At 37.9% G+C, this 19580-nt stretch overlaps 2 protein-coding genes across 5 annotated transcripts in view; one reads left to right on the top strand and one right to left on the bottom strand.

Moving 5' to 3' along the window:
- The window catches only part of CENPP (centromere protein P), a 295062-nt gene that overhangs the window by 194766 nt on the left and 80716 nt on the right, over positions 1 to 19580 (bottom strand). The gene's annotated exons all lie outside the window — the stretch shown is intronic.
- OMD (osteomodulin) lies at positions 1293 to 13384 on the top strand. The gene is made up of 3 exons (NM_005014.3): positions 1293 to 1562; positions 8190 to 9145; positions 10287 to 13384. Exons 2-3 carry the CDS (start codon positions 8206 to 8208, stop codon positions 10610 to 10612), a joined length of 1266 nt encoding a protein of 421 aa, NP_005005.1. The 5' UTR covers positions 1293 to 1562; positions 8190 to 8205; the 3' UTR covers positions 10613 to 13384.

Raw genomic sequence — 19580 nt, 5'->3', positions numbered from 1 at the left:
TGCCACGTTTTTCATACCAATGTCTCAAATAATAGACTAGATTTTTACAACTGCCAAAGCATCACTTGAAACACTGTATACTTTTCTTAATGCAAAGTTTAACAAAATAAATCTTGTGAGTTCTTTGTAAAAAGCTAATGGAAAACACTTTTTTGAGGAAACAAAATGAACTCCAGGATTCACTTTATCTTATTAGTTTGTAAAAGCTTAAAAGAATTCCCCCCCAAAATGAACTCCGAATCTACTGCCAAAAGACACAAGTCAACTCTCTGTTTAGAATATGAGAACAGTGTAAAAATTAAACATTAAAAACAGTTAACTGTTACTATTCAGGAGAGATAGCTCTATGAAATGAAGAAATTTTCTAAATCTACAAAATAAAGGCAATAGCTATTGAGTAACATAAGCTTTTCATCCCATTTTATTCAATACTACAGAATTATTTTGTGCAATAGTAAAAACAGGCAAATTGAAGATACACCTTTGGAGTGCAACCAACTGACTAATTTTATCTGAAAGGATATTAGAAGTCATTCTAGTGGGTACATCTGCCAAAAAGAGGAGAAATGAGATAGCTGATAAAAATGATGATAAAAATGAAGATGTAAGCCTTTGTATAGAAAAGTCGTATAGTTAATCTGTGTAAGCAATGACAATCAAGTGCATTTTAAAAATAAACAATGCGAAATGTTATGTTTCTAATCCTGATTTCTTGTTTTAACAAATAGAAGTACTGATATGAACCTAGGTGTTGAATAACCAAGGGACTCAAGAAATTTTGAGTTCCAGGCCAGGCGTGGTGGCTCATGCCTGTAATCCCAGCAATTTGGGAGGTGGAGGCGGGAGGATCACCTGAGGTCAGGAGTTCAAGACCAGCCTGGCCAACATGGTGAAACCCCATCTCTACTAAAAATACAAGAAATTAGCCAGGCATGGTGGCTCATGCCTGTAATCCCAGCTACTTGGGAGGCTGAGACAGGAGAATTGCTTGAACCCGGGAGGTGGAGGTTGTGGTGAGCCGAGGTTGCACCACTATACTCTGGCCTGGGCAGCAAAGCAAGACTCCATCTCAAAAAATTAAAAAAGAAATTTTGAGTTCCACCTTAAGTTGCTGAGACTCTGGAGTTCCCTGTCACAGTGGGCCTTAATTTGAAGAATTCTTTGGCATGAAAATGAAAATAAAAACAGTAATCAGTACATGCTGTTTCATTTAGTTTTGTTTGCCTTTCACATTAGAGGAAATTCTTGCCACACCTCAAACCAAAATTAAGGGGAAAAGAAAGAAGTAAGCCACATAAATCTGACCAAGAACACAAGCATCTTAATTTGAATCCACAAAGTTTCATGTAATGAAAAGAAATACATAATTTTAATTCAACCCGAGTGTTTTCCAAGAAGATTGTATTTGCTTAAATTGCTACAGTAATTCAAGAGACAGCCCTGTCTGGACACAGAGTTACTGTGGATTTTTAAGAGACTCAGTTAAAGAATTTAGGAATTTCTGATTCATTTAAAGGATTTACAAATTCATCAACCCCTGAAAACTAAAGCAAATTGAACAGGTATGATAATAAAATAATTTTCAATTTTTTAAGAATGTATTCCTACTGTTAAAATTTAAAAGTATATTGGATTTTTTAATATTAAAATAGACTGCATCTATTACAAAAGCACAATTTTTGGAAGCAAAATCTGGTAAAAAAGTTATGTTAAACTTTTGATTAGGCAAAATGTTCAAATAAAGTAGTATAATGAGTTTAACTTTCTCATTTAAGATTTACCCAATAAAAAATCTTTGTTTAGATTTTTTTTTACTTTGAATGAAAGGAAAGATTCTCAGGTTAAAGGAATCAATCTCTTTCTCTTCCTTAGGTCTCTTTTTTTCTATGAATTATAAGTAACAAAGAACCAGCTAATGCCTTTGAGGCATACAGCTGAGCAATGCTAGTGATTCCGGTTGGGGGGTTGATGGGCATTTGTACAAATTTCACTCAAGATTTTCTCCAAATTTCTCTACTGACTAAATCCCTGATATAGAATGTTTTTCTTTTCATTTACTTCTTTCTCAAAGGGAAAATACAGATGCTCTATCTAGTCTATTGAAGGATCTAGTTACTTTGGGTTTTAGTTAATTACGATTTAAATGTATTATGGCTAAAAATAATTGAGGTAATTGTATTTTTAATAGCAAAAAAATTTTATAAAATTAAAATTTAGAACTTTTTTGGAAAAATCTAAATTATATGCTAATATTTGCTTTCTTATATGCTAGTTTCTATGTCATACAAATAAAAACAATTATGTCTTTAACATAATAAAATGTTGAGGATTTTACTTTAAACTTTTCCTGAACAAGTAAATTATACCTCATTAGTAATTTCAATTGAAACTTTTCTTGATGAACACGAGTGCTTTTCTCCAAGTAAGAGAAATATTATGACACAGATGGTTTTATTGCTATAATATGAAAAATTCACATTGAAAACTGGTAATATATATATATTACTTTGCTCCAAACATTCTTTTTCACATTTGTTCTTTTCCTGCTACACGATGTACTAGGAAAGTGAGGAATACAGTATATTGTGATGAAGAAATATTCAATAGAAAAAGGAACAGTCAAGCTCTCATGAATATGTTCATTTGAAGAAATTATCATAGTGAAATAAATGCCTAGGAATAATCAACATTAGTAGAGAGAAGCATTTGCTAGCAAGCCTTAACCTATAACTTATTAACTTATTCATTCAACACACCTTTGAGCACTTATAACACTGCATTGTATTAGATTCTGTTAAAAGATATTAGGAAATGAGATGATCAACAATGAATTATACAATATTGCTGTGAGTTATCCTATAGAGAACAAGGCATACATTGTAGAGTATGAAAAGCAGAAGTAACAAAAATATGCTTAGCAAATGACTCAGAAGAGATTAGTTGGGGAATGAAAAATTTGGATAAAATAAGAGATTGTTGTAACAGGGGAAATTATCCTGGGGAAAGAGCAAGAGGCATAGAAAATAATGAGCATATAGATGAAAACAGGATGGATTTCAAAACAGAAAACTGCACTTAATCAAAGGGAGTGGGACAAGATTGTACTACATGGTTAGGAACGTGGAGGGAGGAGGACAAGGATGTTTAAGATAAGTTCAGGTTTAGAAGAGAAATTGTTCCTCAAGGAAAGACTTTCTTCTTAGGTGCTCACAAAGGCGGAAAGCAGACAATATTAAAAACCTCTTTATTTTCAGAGACGCCCCAGTCATGTCTTGATTCAAGGCCTTCTTCTTTTTTCCCAACAATTTTTCATAGTTGTTGAACAACAGACTCTAATTCTCAAATGTAAGGTTGATAACTGATGATTAGCTAATGTTCTCAACAAAGGGATAAAATTCAAGCTGAGTTTTCAGCCAGGCAGGTGGCTCACACCTGTAATCTCAGCACTTTGGGAGGCTGAGGTGGGCGGATCACCTGAGGTCAGGAGTTCGAGACCAGGCTGGCCAACATGGCAAAATCCCGTCTTAACTAAAAATACAAAAAAATGTAGCCAGTCGTGGTGGTGCACGCCTGTAATCCCAGCTACTCAGGAGGCTGAGGCACAAGAATCACTTGAGCCTGGGAGGCGGAGGTTGCAGTGAGCCGAGATTGTGCCACTGCACTCCAGCCTGGGTGACAGCACGAGACTCTTGTCTCCAAAAAAAAAAAAGTTAATATGTTATACTATAATAAGTACAATAAAATATTATAAAATTATACATAAAATATCATCAATGAGTATAAAATGTATAGAATATTCTATATCCATTCCTATTAATCTCCCAAAGTCTGGGTCAAATGATGTCTACAAAAGACTTTCCTGTCTCCGTAAGGCTGAGGTAAGCCACTGGCCCCACAGCATTGCCTATCTCTGCTATAAAGGATATTACCCTCTGCCTTAGATTAGGGTTCACTTTGTTGTATCTCTCTCCTCCACTAAGCTGTTTGCTCTTTACAGAAGGGACTATGGCTTCACGTCTTCTTCATTTCTGTATTCTCCACCAACTTAGCATAGTGCCTCATCACTAGAAATAATTCAGGACAACGGTAAACTGATGTAACCCAATCAAACTAACTACTAATATTTGTAAAGTGCTTCACTAAGCATGTTTACATACAGTAAAGTAGTAGAGTACACTAGGTGAATAAGCATTTCCAAGCAGACCCACTGGGAGCTTCCAGCCCAGCAAGGAGAGCCTGCTCTGAACACTGCCCTTTGGTATGATACCATAACTCCTTAAATCTACCTCCTTCCAAGATTCTCTACTTTTTCACCCACGAACACTGACTGTAGTGTGAAATCACAGCCCAAATATGTTAATTCATTAAATTAGGCATTCATTCCCAGAGTGCAAATTCCTCAGGTCAGAATTTAGGCCCTCCAAGGCCGGGGGTGGTGGCTCATGCCTGTAATCCCAGCACTTTGGGAGGCTGAGGGGGGCAGACTGGTTGAGCCCAGAAGTTCATGACCAGCCTGAGCAACATGGCAAAACCCTGTCTTTACAAAAAATTAAAAAATTAGCCAGGTGTGGTGGCACGCATCTGTAATCCCAGCTACTCAGGAGGCTGAAGTAAGAGAGTCACTTGAGCCCAGGAGATGGAGGGTGAGCCAAGAGTGCACCACTGCGCTCCAGCCTGGGTGACAGAGTGAGACTGTCTCAGAAAAAAAAAGTTAGGCTAATCCCTTCAGATCTGGATTTAATAGTCTTATTTTGCTCCTTCAAGAGTTAACCAACCACATTTCCCAAACACATCACCATCTGTTGCTTCTATGTTTTTGCTCATCTCTTCTAGCCAGAGATCTTCTTCCTCACTTCCCTCTATGAGAACCTCAACACTCCTTCAAAGTCTAGGTCAAATGCCACATCTTCCACGAATCTCACAGAAAAGAAAGAAAAATGGATGTAATATAGAGTTGCACAAAGAAACATCATGAATTTCAAAAGCACATATTGTTAAAAAAAAAACAAAAACAAAACCCAAACCATTGCTATTTTGGCATTTTCTTGTAGGTAGGGATACATATAAGAAAATAGAAATAAATGATATCTTGATCCTATTTTCTTGACTTAAAAAAAAGAAGCAAGGTCATCACCCAAAAACAATAATGGGGAATAAGGTATTAGAGGCTTCAGAGAGGAAAGTTACAAAACAGTAGCGTAGAAGAGAGGGAAGGAGGATGGTCTAAGGAAATGCAGCAGGACAGCACTTGAGGTTAGTGGTCTTGAATCGAGAGTGAGACCAGTCACCATGCTCCTGTTTTTCTTTAGTTACATTCAGCTGTGACAGTCAGGCTGTGAGTAGGTAGAGAATTGGAGTAACCAGAGTTGGAGTTTGGCAGATTGAAGGAGCCAGAAAGTTTAGGGCATGTGCAAAAGAGCAACGATAGTGATCAACTATGGGGTCTAAGTTGGTAAGAAGGAACTGACAATGTTGGGAGGTATGGATGAGGGACAGTGAAAAACAGTAGAATCAATATAGCTGAGGTTCCACGGAAATTGGAGAATTATTGCAGCTGGAGTTACTACATAGAGATAGTGGTCTGAGTGCGGAATACTCAAAATGAAGAGTATGAAGGGTTCCAGTAATAGAAAAGACAAAACCCAGGATGCGGGTGCATGGGAGCAAATGGTGAGGAAGAATGAAGGAAAGTATCACTGCAGGAAGAGAGCTCAAGGGTCTCTGACTCTACCTGAATAACTACTTCAAATTCCAAATACACACAATAGTTACATTTATAATTTCTGACAAGAAAAGAAGAAGAAATTGAGATGTTTCTTAACCTTTCTCAAATGGGGTTCTGTCAAAGAAAATAACTTAAGTAACTATTCTCTCAATTATACCAATGATGAAAAATAGCTAGAACCATTCTACATGAACAGGAGATAAGTCATTTCATTATATGCAATGATTTGTTTGGAAACTCATTCTCTCATGAAACCCTGGGTGGGAAAAGTAGAAAGGTCTCAGAATAAAAGAGGTAGGATTTTTTAAAACCTTTTTCCTAAATGATACATTCATTTCATCTGGATAGCAGTTTTCAACGTGCAAAGTACTTGTACATGCATAGCTCATACAATGCTAACAACGACCAGGCGGATAAGCAGGCAAGATATGACACAAGGAGGCTGGATGCAGTGGCTCACGCCCGTAATCCCAGCACTTTGGGAGCCCAAGGTGGGTGGATCATGAGGTCAGGAGTTCGAGAGCAGCCTGGTCAACATGGTGAAACTCCATCTCTACTAAAAATACAAAAATTAGCCGGGTGTGGTGGAGTGCACCTGTAATCCCAGCTACTGGGGAGGCTGAGGCAGGAGAATTGCTTAAACCCAGGAGGTGGTGGCTGCAGTGAGCCGAGATCGCACCACTGCACTCCAGTCTGGGCAACAGAGCAAGACTCCATCTCAAAAAAAAAAAAAAAAAAAGACACAAGGCAACATACAAGATAAGCAGCCAAGGTATAATTCAGCTATAATTGCAATTCTTATTTTATTGATGAGGCAAGAGGCAGATATGTTAAGTGACAGAAATGAAATATAGGTTTCAGGCTTCTCATCTGGGACATAATTGACCCTTCCCTAGAACTTCAAGTTTCAGCACTGAGTGTTCATTGTGAAGTGTGCCCTTTTGCAATTCTTTTCCACACAATATCCTCCTCCTGCATTCTACTGCACGTGTATTTGATTCTCCACAAGACTTTAAACACCTGGGAGACAAGGACAGTGTGTTTTTAATAATATTTTTGTATCTAAAACTTAAATATATTAATGGAAAAAAGGAAGCTAGGAAGAAAAATGTAAAGACACTTGAACTTTGTAGAATGTAAACACTGTATGTCTTTAGGATTTAAAGTAGTTATTCAAGCAGAGTCGGAGACTAAATAATTGGATTCTGGAAACTGTTTCATGAGGAAAATTTGATGGTGCTGTTAGTTTTGGACAGAAAATATTAAAAGGAAACATGAATACTATTTCTAAATATCTGAAGTTATCACACAAAAGGGAGCATTTCACGTTCTTCTGAAGGGCAGAAAAAGGTATCAGCAAATAGAAGTTGTAGAATCTCCCAGGCAAAAGCTCTCTAACTAAAATAAAGGTCTTTCCTCCCCCAGGCAGTGACCATCATTAAAGGATCAGGTAATTCCAAAGAACACACAGCATTTACAGTGGAGGGATCAGACTGTAGTTGACTGATGTCATGCTATTATCATAGATCTATACCCTAGTAAGCAAGAGAAACTGGGACTCTTAAAAGATGGTTACTTAGTAGAAAGTCTAGTATACCAGACTTTTGACTCAAGTTCAGTGTAATATGTGACTTAAAAAAAAAAAAAATCTCGGCCAGGCGCAGTGGCTCACGCCTGTAATCCCAGCACTTTGAGAGGCTGAGGTGGGTGGATCACCTGAGGTCAGGAGTTAGAGACCAGCCTGGCCAAGATGGAGAAACCCCGTCTCTACTAACAATACAAAAATTAGCCAAGCGTGGTGGCACGCGCCTGTAGTCCCAGATACTTGGGAGGCTGAGGCAGGAGAATCACTTGAACCGGGGAGGTGGAGGCTGCAGTGAGCCAAGCCTGCACCACTACACTCCACCCTGGGTGACAAGGCAAGACTCCATCTCAAAAATAAAAAGAAAAAGAAAAAGAAAAAAGAAAAAAAACTCACTTCATTTGTACTTAAACATTAATTTTGGTTTGAGGCCAGGCGTGGTGGCTCACACCTGTAATCCCAGCACTTTGGGAGGCCGAGGCCAGAGGATCCCTTGAGGTCAGGAGTTTGAGACCAGCTTGGGCAACACAACGAAACCTTGTCTCTACTAAAAAATACAAAAATAAGCTGGGCATAGTGGCATGCACCTGTAGTCCCAGCTACTTGGGAGGCTGAGGCATGAGAATTGCTTGAACCTGGGAGCCTGGGAGGCAGAAGTTGCAGTGAGCCGAGATTGTGCCACTGCACTCCAGCCTGGGTGACAGAGGAGACACTGTCACAAAAAAAGAAAAAAATTTTGGTTTGAGCACTGCCCATTCTTTCTGGATATTCTTTTATATATAGACATAGGTATAATACATTTCATATAACTGAGAATTTATACAAAGCGTATTCTGAGTTTACTCACTTTCTCCACAATGTTTCCTTTTCTCCTTGCAATAGGAAAAAAAAAAAGAAGATGGGTTTTTTAAGTCCAATATATGTTATTTTCTTCTTTTTTGGAGTCAAAGTACATTGCCAATATGAAACTTATCAGTGGGATGAAGACTATGACCAAGAGCCAGATGATGATTACCAAACAGGATTCCCATTTCGTCAAAATGTAGACTACGGAGTTCCTTTTCATCAGTATACTTTAGGCTGTGTCAGTGAATGCTTCTGTCCAACTAACTTTCCATCATCAATGTACTGTGATAATCGCAAACTCAAGACTATCCCAAATATTCCGATGCACATTCAGCAACTCTACCTTCAGTTCAATGAAATTGAGGCTGTGACTGCAAATTCATTCATCAATGCAACTCATCTTAAAGAAATTAACCTCAGCCACAACAAAATTAAATCTCAAAAGATTGATTATGGTGTGTTTGCTAAGCTTCCAAATCTACTACAACTTCATCTAGAGCATAATAATTTAGAAGAATTTCCATTTCCTCTTCCTAAATCTCTGGAAAGACTCCTTCTTGGTTACAATGAAATCTCCAAACTGCAGACAAATGCTATGGATGGGCTAGTAAACTTGACCATGCTTGATCTCTGTTATAATTATCTTCATGATTCTCTGCTAAAAGACAAAATCTTTGCCAAAATGGAAAAACTAATGCAGCTCAACCTCTGCAGTAACAGATTAGAATCAATGCCTCCTGGTTTGCCTTCTTCACTTATGTATCTGTCTTTAGAAAATAATTCAATTTCTTCTATACCCGAAAAATACTTCGACAAACTTCCAAAACTTCATACTCTAAGAATGTCACACAACAAACTACAAGACATCCCATATAATATTTTTAATCTTCCCAACATTGTAGAACTCAGTGTTGGACACAACAAATTGAAGCAAGCATTCTATATTCCAAGAAATTTGGAACACCTATACCTACAAAATAATGAAATAGAAAGTATGTAGACTTTTATTGTGTTTTGAAGAGAGAAAGAATGGAATCCTGATCTTTTAAAGAAAAAAATATTCAATAAGCTATGCTTTAGACATTGCTGAAAATAGTTGTTTTGAAGTTGCTTAAGGGAATGGCAGAAATCTGCCCCAGAGAAATGTGTGCTATTCAGTTTATAGTCCTTTTTATTAAATTTTATTGCCTTAAATATTGAGAAATAGGCTGGGCGTGGTGGCTCATGCCTGTAATCAGAGCACTTTGGGAGGCTAAGGCGGGTGGGGTGGATCACTTGAGGCCAGGAGTTCGAGATCAGCCTGGTCAATATAGTGAAGTCCCATCTCTACCAAAAATAGAAAAATTAGCCAGGCATGGTGGCATGTGCCTGTACTCCCAGCTACTTAAGAGGCCGAGGCATGAGAGTTGCTTGAACCCAGGAATCGGAGGTTGCAGTGAGCTGAGATCATGCCACTGCTTTCTGGCCTGGATGACAGAGCAAAACTCTGTCTTAAAAAAAAAAAAAATAAAATAAATAAATAAATAAATAAATAAATAAATATATATATATACACACATATATAATATATTTATTTATATATAAAAAATATATATTCTCTTTTATATATATAACTGATAATTTATACATATATATATAACTGACAATTTATACAGAGCGTATTCTGAGTTTACTCACTTTCTCCACAATGTTTCCTTTTCTCCTTGCAACAGGAAAAAAAAAAAGAAAAAAAGAAGAAATATATAATTTTATATATATATATTTTTTTATATATATGTATAAATTGTCAGTTTTATATATGTATATATATAAAAGAGAGAAATAATAGAGTACATGAAGAAATATGAGTATCCTAAGTAGTGGGATTGTAGATAATTTTTTTTTGAGATTGTTCTACTAGGAATTTATTAATCAGAAAAGCCAATGAAGCCATATATATTTTGTTAATATAAAACTCATAATTTAATTTTCTTTTTATTATTTGATTAATATAAAAAGGAAACCTAATTCAATTTATAAATATTTTAATTAACAGAATTATATCCCATACAATATAAAATCTAACATAGAATTATGGCTATAACTATGGATTATACTATAATACAAGATTAATTTTTAATTTATTTCTTTCAGAGATGAATCTTACAGTGATGTGTCCTTCTATTGACCCACTACATTACCACCATTTAACATACATTCGTGTGGACCAAAATAAACTAAAAGAACCAATAAGCTCATACATCTTCTTCTGCTTCCCTCATATACACACTATTTATTATGGTGAACAACGAAGCACTAATGGTCAAACAATACAACTAAAGACACAAGTTTTCAGGAGATTTCCAGATGATGATGATGAAAGTGAAGATCACGATGATCCTGACAATGCTCATGAGAGCCCAGAACAAGAAGGAGCAGAAGGGCACTTTGACCTTCATTATTATGAAAATCAAGAATAGCAAGAAACTATATAGGTATACACTTACGACTTCACAAAACCTATACTTAATATAGTAAATCTAAGTAAACATGTATTACTCAAAGTAATATATTTAGAATTATGTATTAGTATAAGATCAGAATTGAATTTAAGTTGTTGGTGACATCTGCATCATTTCATAGGATTAGAACTTACTCAAAATAATGTAAATCTTTAAAAATATAAATTAGAATGACAAGTGGGAATCATAAATTAAACGTTAATGGTTTCTTATGCTCTTTTTAAATATAGAAATATCATGTTAAAGAAAGTGAGTGTATCATTTCTATTAACAGTAATTTTTCTAAAAATGAGGAAGGAAGTAGCATTAGCAGTAAAGACCCACAGGCCATGACCTTTTTGATCACTCTGAGGACAATATTTAAATGACAGGAAGGTATATTAATGTAACAAGCATTCATTTAAGGAATAGACCATTTTCTCTGACCTCTTCTTCAGGAAAGCTTTCACACTGGTATTTGTGATCTCACCATTATGACATCCATCCCCCTAGCTCACCACATAGCACATAGAATGATATTTTTGATTTGTAAGAGGCCATCCAGGTACTAAGGACCCAAGGCATACAGATTCACAAAATTAACTAATCTTTTTGCCTCAGAATACCAAAACAACAAAATTATAAAGCTGTATTTGGACAACTAAAAAACACCAAACTATCTCATTGCAATTTGTATTTTAGCAGATTTCAGCAACTATCCTAAACAATGTTATTGTGTTCCATTTTAACTGGGATAAATGTTTTTGTAAAAATACAACCATAGAAAGGCCTCTTTGTTACAAAATGATTTGCAAAGAAATAACTGCTTTGTTTGCAAGATTAAATTAGTGTTGGCAAAATAAAGTTCTAAAGATAATACTAAACACTTTATGCTTATCAGCCAATATCTACATAAGCTAAAATTGAATACAGTTCCTTTATAATTTGAATGACAGGTTTTAACATCTTCTTTAAAACCTTAAAAATCACTTTTTCGTTAATGTATTATTTTTAAGTATTGTAAGTGTGCCTTACAATGATGATTATCTAACTGCTGTGATGAACTCTCTTGATATACCATGCTAATGTTTCATAGAATTTCTCAGATAAGGGACAAATACCAATCTAGGGCTGCCTATACAAATGATAACAATTCTGACAATATGCAACAGACAGACAAGTCAAACTATACTTCAGAAATAGTTTTCAAGCTTGCAAGTCTTTTTTTCTGGAAATACCAGTTTAAAGTGAAGTCTTTAATGCTCTTTACATCTTTGAGGAATTATTAGCATTATCAGAACCAGAACGCCCACCTGTTCCCAGGGACAACCTCAAGAATCCAGGATGAATATGAAGAAAACTCCATTCATTCGTCTAATCAACATTCATCAAGTCCTTTCTTATATAGGGCTTGGCAATAAGGGATCAATAAACAAAGTACAATGTGCAACTATGATGCCACAATATGGGCAAAGCACATTTTCAACAGAGGTTAAAAAAAAAATCTTAAGGCCCACCTCCCTTTTCTTGCAATTTTTAAATACAGGATATAAATTCAAACATTAAGAGTTAATACGTGGAAAATACTATAGGTGTTTTAGAAAACAAAGATAAGACAATTCCTAACCTAGAGCAATTTAAAATTTATGAGCCATTAGGGAAATGCAAATAAATGAGATATTACTATGTGCTCACTAGGATAGCTGAAATCAAAAGGCAGACAAATAACAAGTGTTGGCAAGATGTGGAAAAATTGGAGCCTTCATACACCTTTGGAAGGAGTGTAAATACTGCAGCTGCTTAGAAAAGCAGTATGGAAGTTCCTTAAAAAGTTAGTTACATATAGTCGGGCGCATTAGCTCACACCTGTAATCCCAGCACTTTGGAAGGCCGAGTTAGGTGGATCACCTGGGGTCGGGAGTTTGAGACCAGCCTGACCAACATGGAGAAACCCCATCTCTACTAAAAATACAAAATAATTAGCCAGGCATGGTGGCACATGCCTGTAATCCCGGCTACTTGCGAGGCTGAGGCAGGAGAATTGCCTAAACCCAAGAGGCAGAAGTTGCGGTGAGCCAAGACCATGCCATTGCACTCCAGCCTGGGCAACAAGAGCAAAAGTCCATATCAAAAAAAAAAAAAAAAAAAAAAAAAAGCTTAGTTACATATAACCCAGCGATTCCATTCCTAACTATATACCCAATAGAACTGAACACACATGTTCACACCAAAATTTGCATATAAATGTCCACAGCAGCATTATCCACAAGGTAGAAATCACCCACATGTCCATCAATGGATAAACAAAATGTGGTATATCCATTTCATGGAATATTATTCAGCCATATCCAAAGGTAGAAACCACGCAAATGTCCATCAATGGATACACAAAATGTGATATATCCATACAGTGGAATATTATTCAGCAATAAAAAGTAACGAAGCACTGACATATGCTACAACATGGATAACCTTGAAAACATTATGCTCAGTGAAAGAAGTCAGTCGTAAAAAGACACAAATTGTATGATTCCATCTTTATGAAATGTCCAGAACTGGGAAATCTATGGAGACAAAGACTATTGGTTGCCTAGAGCTGGGGATCATGGGAATGGGGAAAGTGAGAAGTAACTGCTAATGGGTATATGGTTTCTTTTTTGGAGTAATGAAAATGTTCCAAAATTGACTGTGGTGATGGTTGTACAAATGCAAAAACACTAAGTACTATTAAATTGTATACTTTAGGCTGGGTGCAGTGGCTCATATCTGTAATCCTAGTGCTCTGGAAGACCAAGGTGGGAGAATTGCTTGAGGCCAGAAGTTCAAGACTGGCCTAGGCAACACAGTGAAACCCTGTCTCTACAAAAAAATTAAAAATTAGCCAGGCATGGTGGTGCATGCCTGCAGTCTTAGCTATTCAAGAGGCTGAAGCAGAAAGATTGCTTGAGCCCCGGAGACCAAGGTTGCAGTGAGCCATGATCATGCTTCTGCACTCCACCCTGGCAATAGAGTGAGACCCCGTCTCTAAAAATAAATAAATTAATTAATTAATTAATTCATTAATTAAATTATATACTTTAAAAAGATGAATTGTATTGAATGTGACTTATCTCAATAAAACAGTTATTTGAAGAATTTAATAAAGAGAAGATCAAACAACTCACTCTAACACAAGGAAGAAATAAAATGCTAAAGCGGCAGTGACTATGAAAAACTGTATAAGCACAGATACCATAACTTTCACATCTGGTGAGGACCTGGAGGAGTAGTTGAAGGCTCCCAGGAAAAAGTTAATGTGTGGCAGGAACTGACTGGCAAAAGTAGAGAGAACAAGCTCCTGACTGGGGTTAATATAAAGACATGGTAATTACTTGTTTCACTTCTTGCACAGTTTAAGAGATTGAAAACCCTTCCTTTTTCAGAGCTCTGGAGTTTCAATTTGTATCTCCTCCTAAATGAATAAAAGAAAATACATTTTAATTCTCAAAGAACAGCCTTAGCAAATAATAAAATTGCAATTCAAATTTAGCAATTCTGGCCTGGCATGGTGGATTACACCTGTAATACCAGCACTTTGGGAGGCTGAGGTGGGCTGATCCTTTGAGCCCAGGAGTTCTAGACCAGCCTGGGCAACATGGTGAAACTCCATCTCCACTAAAAATAGAAAAAGTAACCGGGCATGGTGGTGCATGCCTGTAGTCCCAGCTACTTGGGAGGATGAGGTGGGAGGATCATCTGAGCCTAGCAAGTGGACATTGCAGTGAAATGACATCATGCCACTGCACACCAGCCTGGGTGTCAGAGTGAGATCCTGTTTCAAAAAACAAAAACAAATTTAGCAATTCAAAACAAGGAATCTGGCTGGGTGTGGTGTCTCACATCTGTAATCCCAGCACTTTGGGAGGCCGAGGAGGGCAGATCACGAGGTCAGGAGACTGAGACCATCCTGGCTAACACAGTGAAACCCCGTCTCTACTAAAAATACAAAAAAGTAGCTGGGCGTGGTGGCAGGCGCCTGTAGTCCCAGATACTCAGGAGGCTGAGGCAGGAGAGGTGTGAACTGGGGAGGCAGAGCTTGCAGTGAGCCGAGATTGCACCACTGCACTCCAGCCTGGGAGACAGAGCGAGACTCTGTCTCAAAAGGAAAAAAAAAGGAATCTGATATAAGAGCTATGTGGGTATAAAGCCTGACATGACACTTTTAAGCTAGGTGACTTTGAGTGAGTTATTTAGTTTAAGTGTCTCTTTCTTTGTTTTTTAAAAAAGATGGTTTCCATATGGTTGTCATAAGGATAAAGATAAATAATTGGTATAATAAAGCACATAAAGTGCACATGAGTTGGAGGTATCAAGTAAACAGTAAGGCTCACTGTAGCACATCTGGCCCAGCAGCCCACAGATCCAGATGCTGCACACTCCTGGGTGCTCACACTGTTTTTCCTGGCACACAAAACAGAGTAAGCATCTCTTTGGGTTCCTTCCAACATTTTACTCATACAAAAGATAGTGGACAAGAGAGACTACTAAGGGTTTCATTAGGGTGCTTAAATCATATATCTCACAAGTTCACAACCACTATTGGACACTGCAGCTTTTCAAAGCACCATCTGGATGGCCCACCAGGGTGAGGATGGCAGGGTTCCCTCCACCCCCTCACAAGGCACTCAGTTGCTGGCTTCCCTGCCCCAGAGTGTGGTCAACCTCCTCCTGTTTATTAGCAAGAACAGTTCAACTCTGCTCTGGCTCCTCCCTCTAAAAGTGCATATAAGTAAATGCATCCCACGTCCTCTAGCTCAGGGCCCAAGGAGGAGACAGATTAACAATCATTTTTTGGTACTTGAAAATGCCTTAACTCAAACCTGCTTAAGTACTTCTCATTAAAAACAAAACAATGAGGCTGGGCACGGTGGCTCACGCCTGTAATCCCAGCACTTCAGGAGGCCGAGGTGGGTAGATCATGAGGTCAGGAGATTGAGACCACCCTGGCTAACATGGTGAAACCCTGTCTCTACTAAAAACACAAAAAATTAGCCAGGCGCGGTGGTACGCACCTGAAGTCCCAGCTACTTGGGAGGCTGAAGCAGGAGAGTTGCTTGAACCCAGGAGGCAGAGGTTGCAGTGAGCCGAGATTGAACCACTGAGCTCCAGCCTGGGTGACTGAGCAAGACTCCGTCTCAAAACAAGCAAACAAACAAAAAACAAAACAAAACAAAGAAAAACCTCAATGCATTCCCTGGGAGACGATGAAGAATAAAGTATTTTCTTCAAATAGTACATCAAGACTGCACAGTTACCTATCGGAGCTACAGACTAAACCAGTTAATTTGATATTTATAGCAGGAAATAAAAATGTGAAAATTCATTTATTATTTTTCTCATTATACTACCAAGTATTTAGTTATGTTAGCTAATAGGTTAAACTGTAACTATTAACAAATAAGTCCAAGTTGCACCATAAACCCATTTAATTAACAAATATAAATGCATAACGAACACACATTTAACTTTTAGAAAGGAAATTTTAAGAAGGATACTTCATAAATTTGTTCACAATAATACTGGTTGAGAATGTTTAGCCAGTGTTTAAGAATTACCTGAAACACTACACATTTTCACTCGATTTCTCAAGCTTGGGAGCACTAAAGTAAAATACAGATGTATGCATATTATATAACACACTTAATCAGCTCCATGATGTAAAAAAGAAAATAGAAGAAATAAACCTTGTCTGTTCTACATAATTTTTCTGTTTTAAGAATTCATATGTCCCCAAGGATGGCTAGACCTAAAACCCTGGTTTCCTGATTCTAAATCCATTTCTTCTACATCTTGGAAATAAAGCATAAGAGCAGCTGGAAACAAAATTAAATCATAATGGCTACACATCTGAAGTTTCTTATATGTTCCAATTTCCTAAATTGATATAACTATTCCAAGTTATAAATCTGCCTAGGTGTAAATATCATAACATCATGGACACATCTTGCATCACTTTACTTGTTTAGGTTATGAATTCACTATACAGAGATTTATGTACTACTGAGAAAAACTAAATTAACAAATAAAATACAATTTTACCATGAGCTCTTCCTTACATTGAGTCATAATTCTCTCCATATAAATTTTACCCTTTAGTCTGGGAAGTAAAATACATGGGTTCTCATATTTCTTGTTTGAACAAACAATTAGGCTTCAAGCATAAGTATGAGATTTAAGACGGAGATCCAAACCACAGACTTTCCACAAAATCCAGAATGCTGGATTAAAAAGGGTCTATGTGTATCTAGTAACTCAGCAGTTATCAATACGAATGATTTTGCTTCCCCAACCCCCACCCATCAGTGGACAGCTGGCAATGTCTGGAGACATTTTTGGTCATCACAAAGTAGGGGTGGGGGTGGGGTGCAACTACTAGCATCTAGTGGGTAGAAGGCAGAGGTGCTGCTAAACATCCTAAAGTGCACACAGGACAGCCCCCACAACAGAGAATTATCAGGTCCAAAATGTCAGTAGTGCAGAGGCTGAGGAACTCTGTAGTAACCCGATTCAATCGATAAAAGTTCAATCGATAAAAAAACTGTGGCCCAAAACGTTAAAGAACTTGCCAAGGTCAGGGGAAGGTTCATGAAGAATCAAAACTAGAACTCAGCTGGGTGCAATGGCTCACACCTGTAATCCCAGTACTTTGGGAGGCCGAGGCGGGCAAATCACGAGATCAAGAGATCGAGACCATCCTGGCTAACATGGTGAAACCCTGTCTCTACTGACAACATAAAAATTAGCTGGGCGTGGTGGCGCATGCCTGTAGTCCCAGCTACTCAGGAGGCTGAGGCAGAAGAATTGCTTAAACCCGGGAGGCGGAGGTTGCAGTGAGCTGAGATCGCACCACTGCACTCCAGCCTGGAGACAGAGCAAGACTCCGTCTCAAAAACAAACAAACAAACAAAAACTAGAACTCAGGTGTTTTGACTCCTAAACCAAACTATTTCCTACAAAGTTAGAGAATGAAGATGAAGATGGGGGAAAGACTCTTCTGGTTTGTAGCATTCATTGAAAGCTAATCCACTTGGAGGTCATATGGTCTCTATCAGAATTAAGCCACTCCCCAAAAATACTTTTTCCCTGGAAGCTCTTGTTTCCAAAATTCCATTCCATTCAACACATTTTTTTGGTTGCCAACAGACAAATGGTACACTTTTGAGGAAATAAAACCCCTATAAGGCACCAAAGATAATACAATAGGGTCACCTAAAAGAACTCCACAGAGGCCAAGGTGGATCACTTTAGGTCAAAAGTTCGAGACCAGCCTGGGTAACATAAGAGGACCCCGTCTCTACAATTCTTTTAATTTTTTTAATTAGCCAGGCATGGTGGTGCATGCCTGTAGTCCCAGCTACTCAGAAGGTTGAAGTGGGAGGATCATTTGGGCCCACAAAGTTGAGGCTGCAGAGAGTCATGATCGTGCCACTGCACTCCAGCTTGGGTGACAGAGCAAGACCTTGCCTTCATAAAAAGAATTCCACAAAGAAGACTCTTTCATCTTTGGATACAATGCCTGCTCTTGAGCATGAGACAGCTTTCATCTTTTACTCCTGTAGAGTAAAAGCTAAATAGCTTTCTATCAGCATTCAATTCTTTCTGGAATAGAAAATCACCTCAGTTTCAAGCATTTTATATTGAGTACTGTGTAGTAAAGATTTTGGCTTTGCCTAAAGAGAGGTCTGGGCTTTGCCTTGGCTTCTGAGAGGTGATCTATGTTATTTCTGATAGGAGTGTTTTTGTTTAGGGTGAGATCAGCCACACCTGATAGTCTTGAGGTAGAGGTGGCTATGCCAGGAAGACCAACCACGTGATGTAGGATAAGGGATTTGGGTTATGTAGTATCAGTGGACCAGGAGGCTGAATTCAATCAATCAATCAATCAAACCTATTAATAAAGCCCCAATAAAAACTCTGAACACTGAGAATAAGCTTGCCTGGTTGGCAATACCCCACATACACTGCCACATATCAACGTAAGGCAATGCATCCAGAGAACAATGGAAGTTTCAAGTCTGGAGCCTTCTAGACACTGCCCCTACGCATCTCCCCCTTTGGCTGATTTTAGGGTGTATCCTTTTTCTATATAAACCATAATCATGAGTATAATGGTCTTCAGTGAGTTCTGAGAGTTCTTCTAGGGAATTATCAAATGTAATAAGAGTGGTTCTAGGAATCTCCTGAAATTGCTGTTGGTATCAGAAGTGCGGGTAATACCCATCTTGCCAGAAGACTATTTCCTCCTCTAGCTGTGAAGAAGCAGGCTGCAATGTTGTGAGCTGCCCTTTTGAGGAAGTCACATGGCAAGGAACTGAGGGAGGCCGTCAGTCAACAGCTAGCAAGAAACTTACGTCCACAGTTTCACATTCTGCAAGGAACTGAATGCTGTCAACAACCACATGGGCTTAGAACTGGATCATTCCCTACTCAACCCCTGAAGTGAGGCTGCAGTGCCAGATGCACTTCAAATGCAGATCCTGAAGCAGACCATCAAGCAAAGACACGCCAAATTCCTGACCCACAGAAACTGTGAGATAATAAATGTGTGTTATTTTAACTAAGCCATTCCTTTGTGGTAGTTTTTTACACAGTAATAGATAACCACTACAATAGATGAACAGTGGTATTCTTCAGCAATGCAACATTAGAGGAATGTTTCTAAAATGCAAACAGGATCATATTTAAGCCATCACTGGCTTAAAAATCTCTACATGGTCTCTCACTGACTACAGACTAAAGCCCAAATACTTTAGCAGGATATAAAATACTTTCTTTAATCCAACCTCTATTCCCCCTGTCTAGTCGCATCTCTTAATATGGTCCATCCCCCTGACTTCTTCTCTCTCTCCCTCCAAGCTCCAGCAGTATGCAAAACAAATTATAAATTTTCTGAATGATCTACCCCCAT

This window comes from Homo sapiens, chromosome 9, assembly GCF_000001405.40.
Source record: "Homo sapiens chromosome 9, GRCh38.p14 Primary Assembly".
Lineage (NCBI taxonomy): Eukaryota > Metazoa > Chordata > Mammalia > Primates > Hominidae > Homo > Homo sapiens.
Note: the sequence above shows the minus strand (reverse complement) of the source record. Positions and strands in the feature narration are given on the sequence as shown.

Coding starts and splice junctions, on each gene's coding strand:
- OMD (NM_005014.3), top strand. CDS start 8,206: ATGGGTTTTTTAAGTCCAATATATGTTATTTTCTTCTTTTTTGGAGTC. Junction 9,146..10,286: donor ACAAAATAATGAAATAGAAA/GTATGTAGACTT, acceptor TATTTCTTTCAG/AGATGAATCTTACAGTGATG.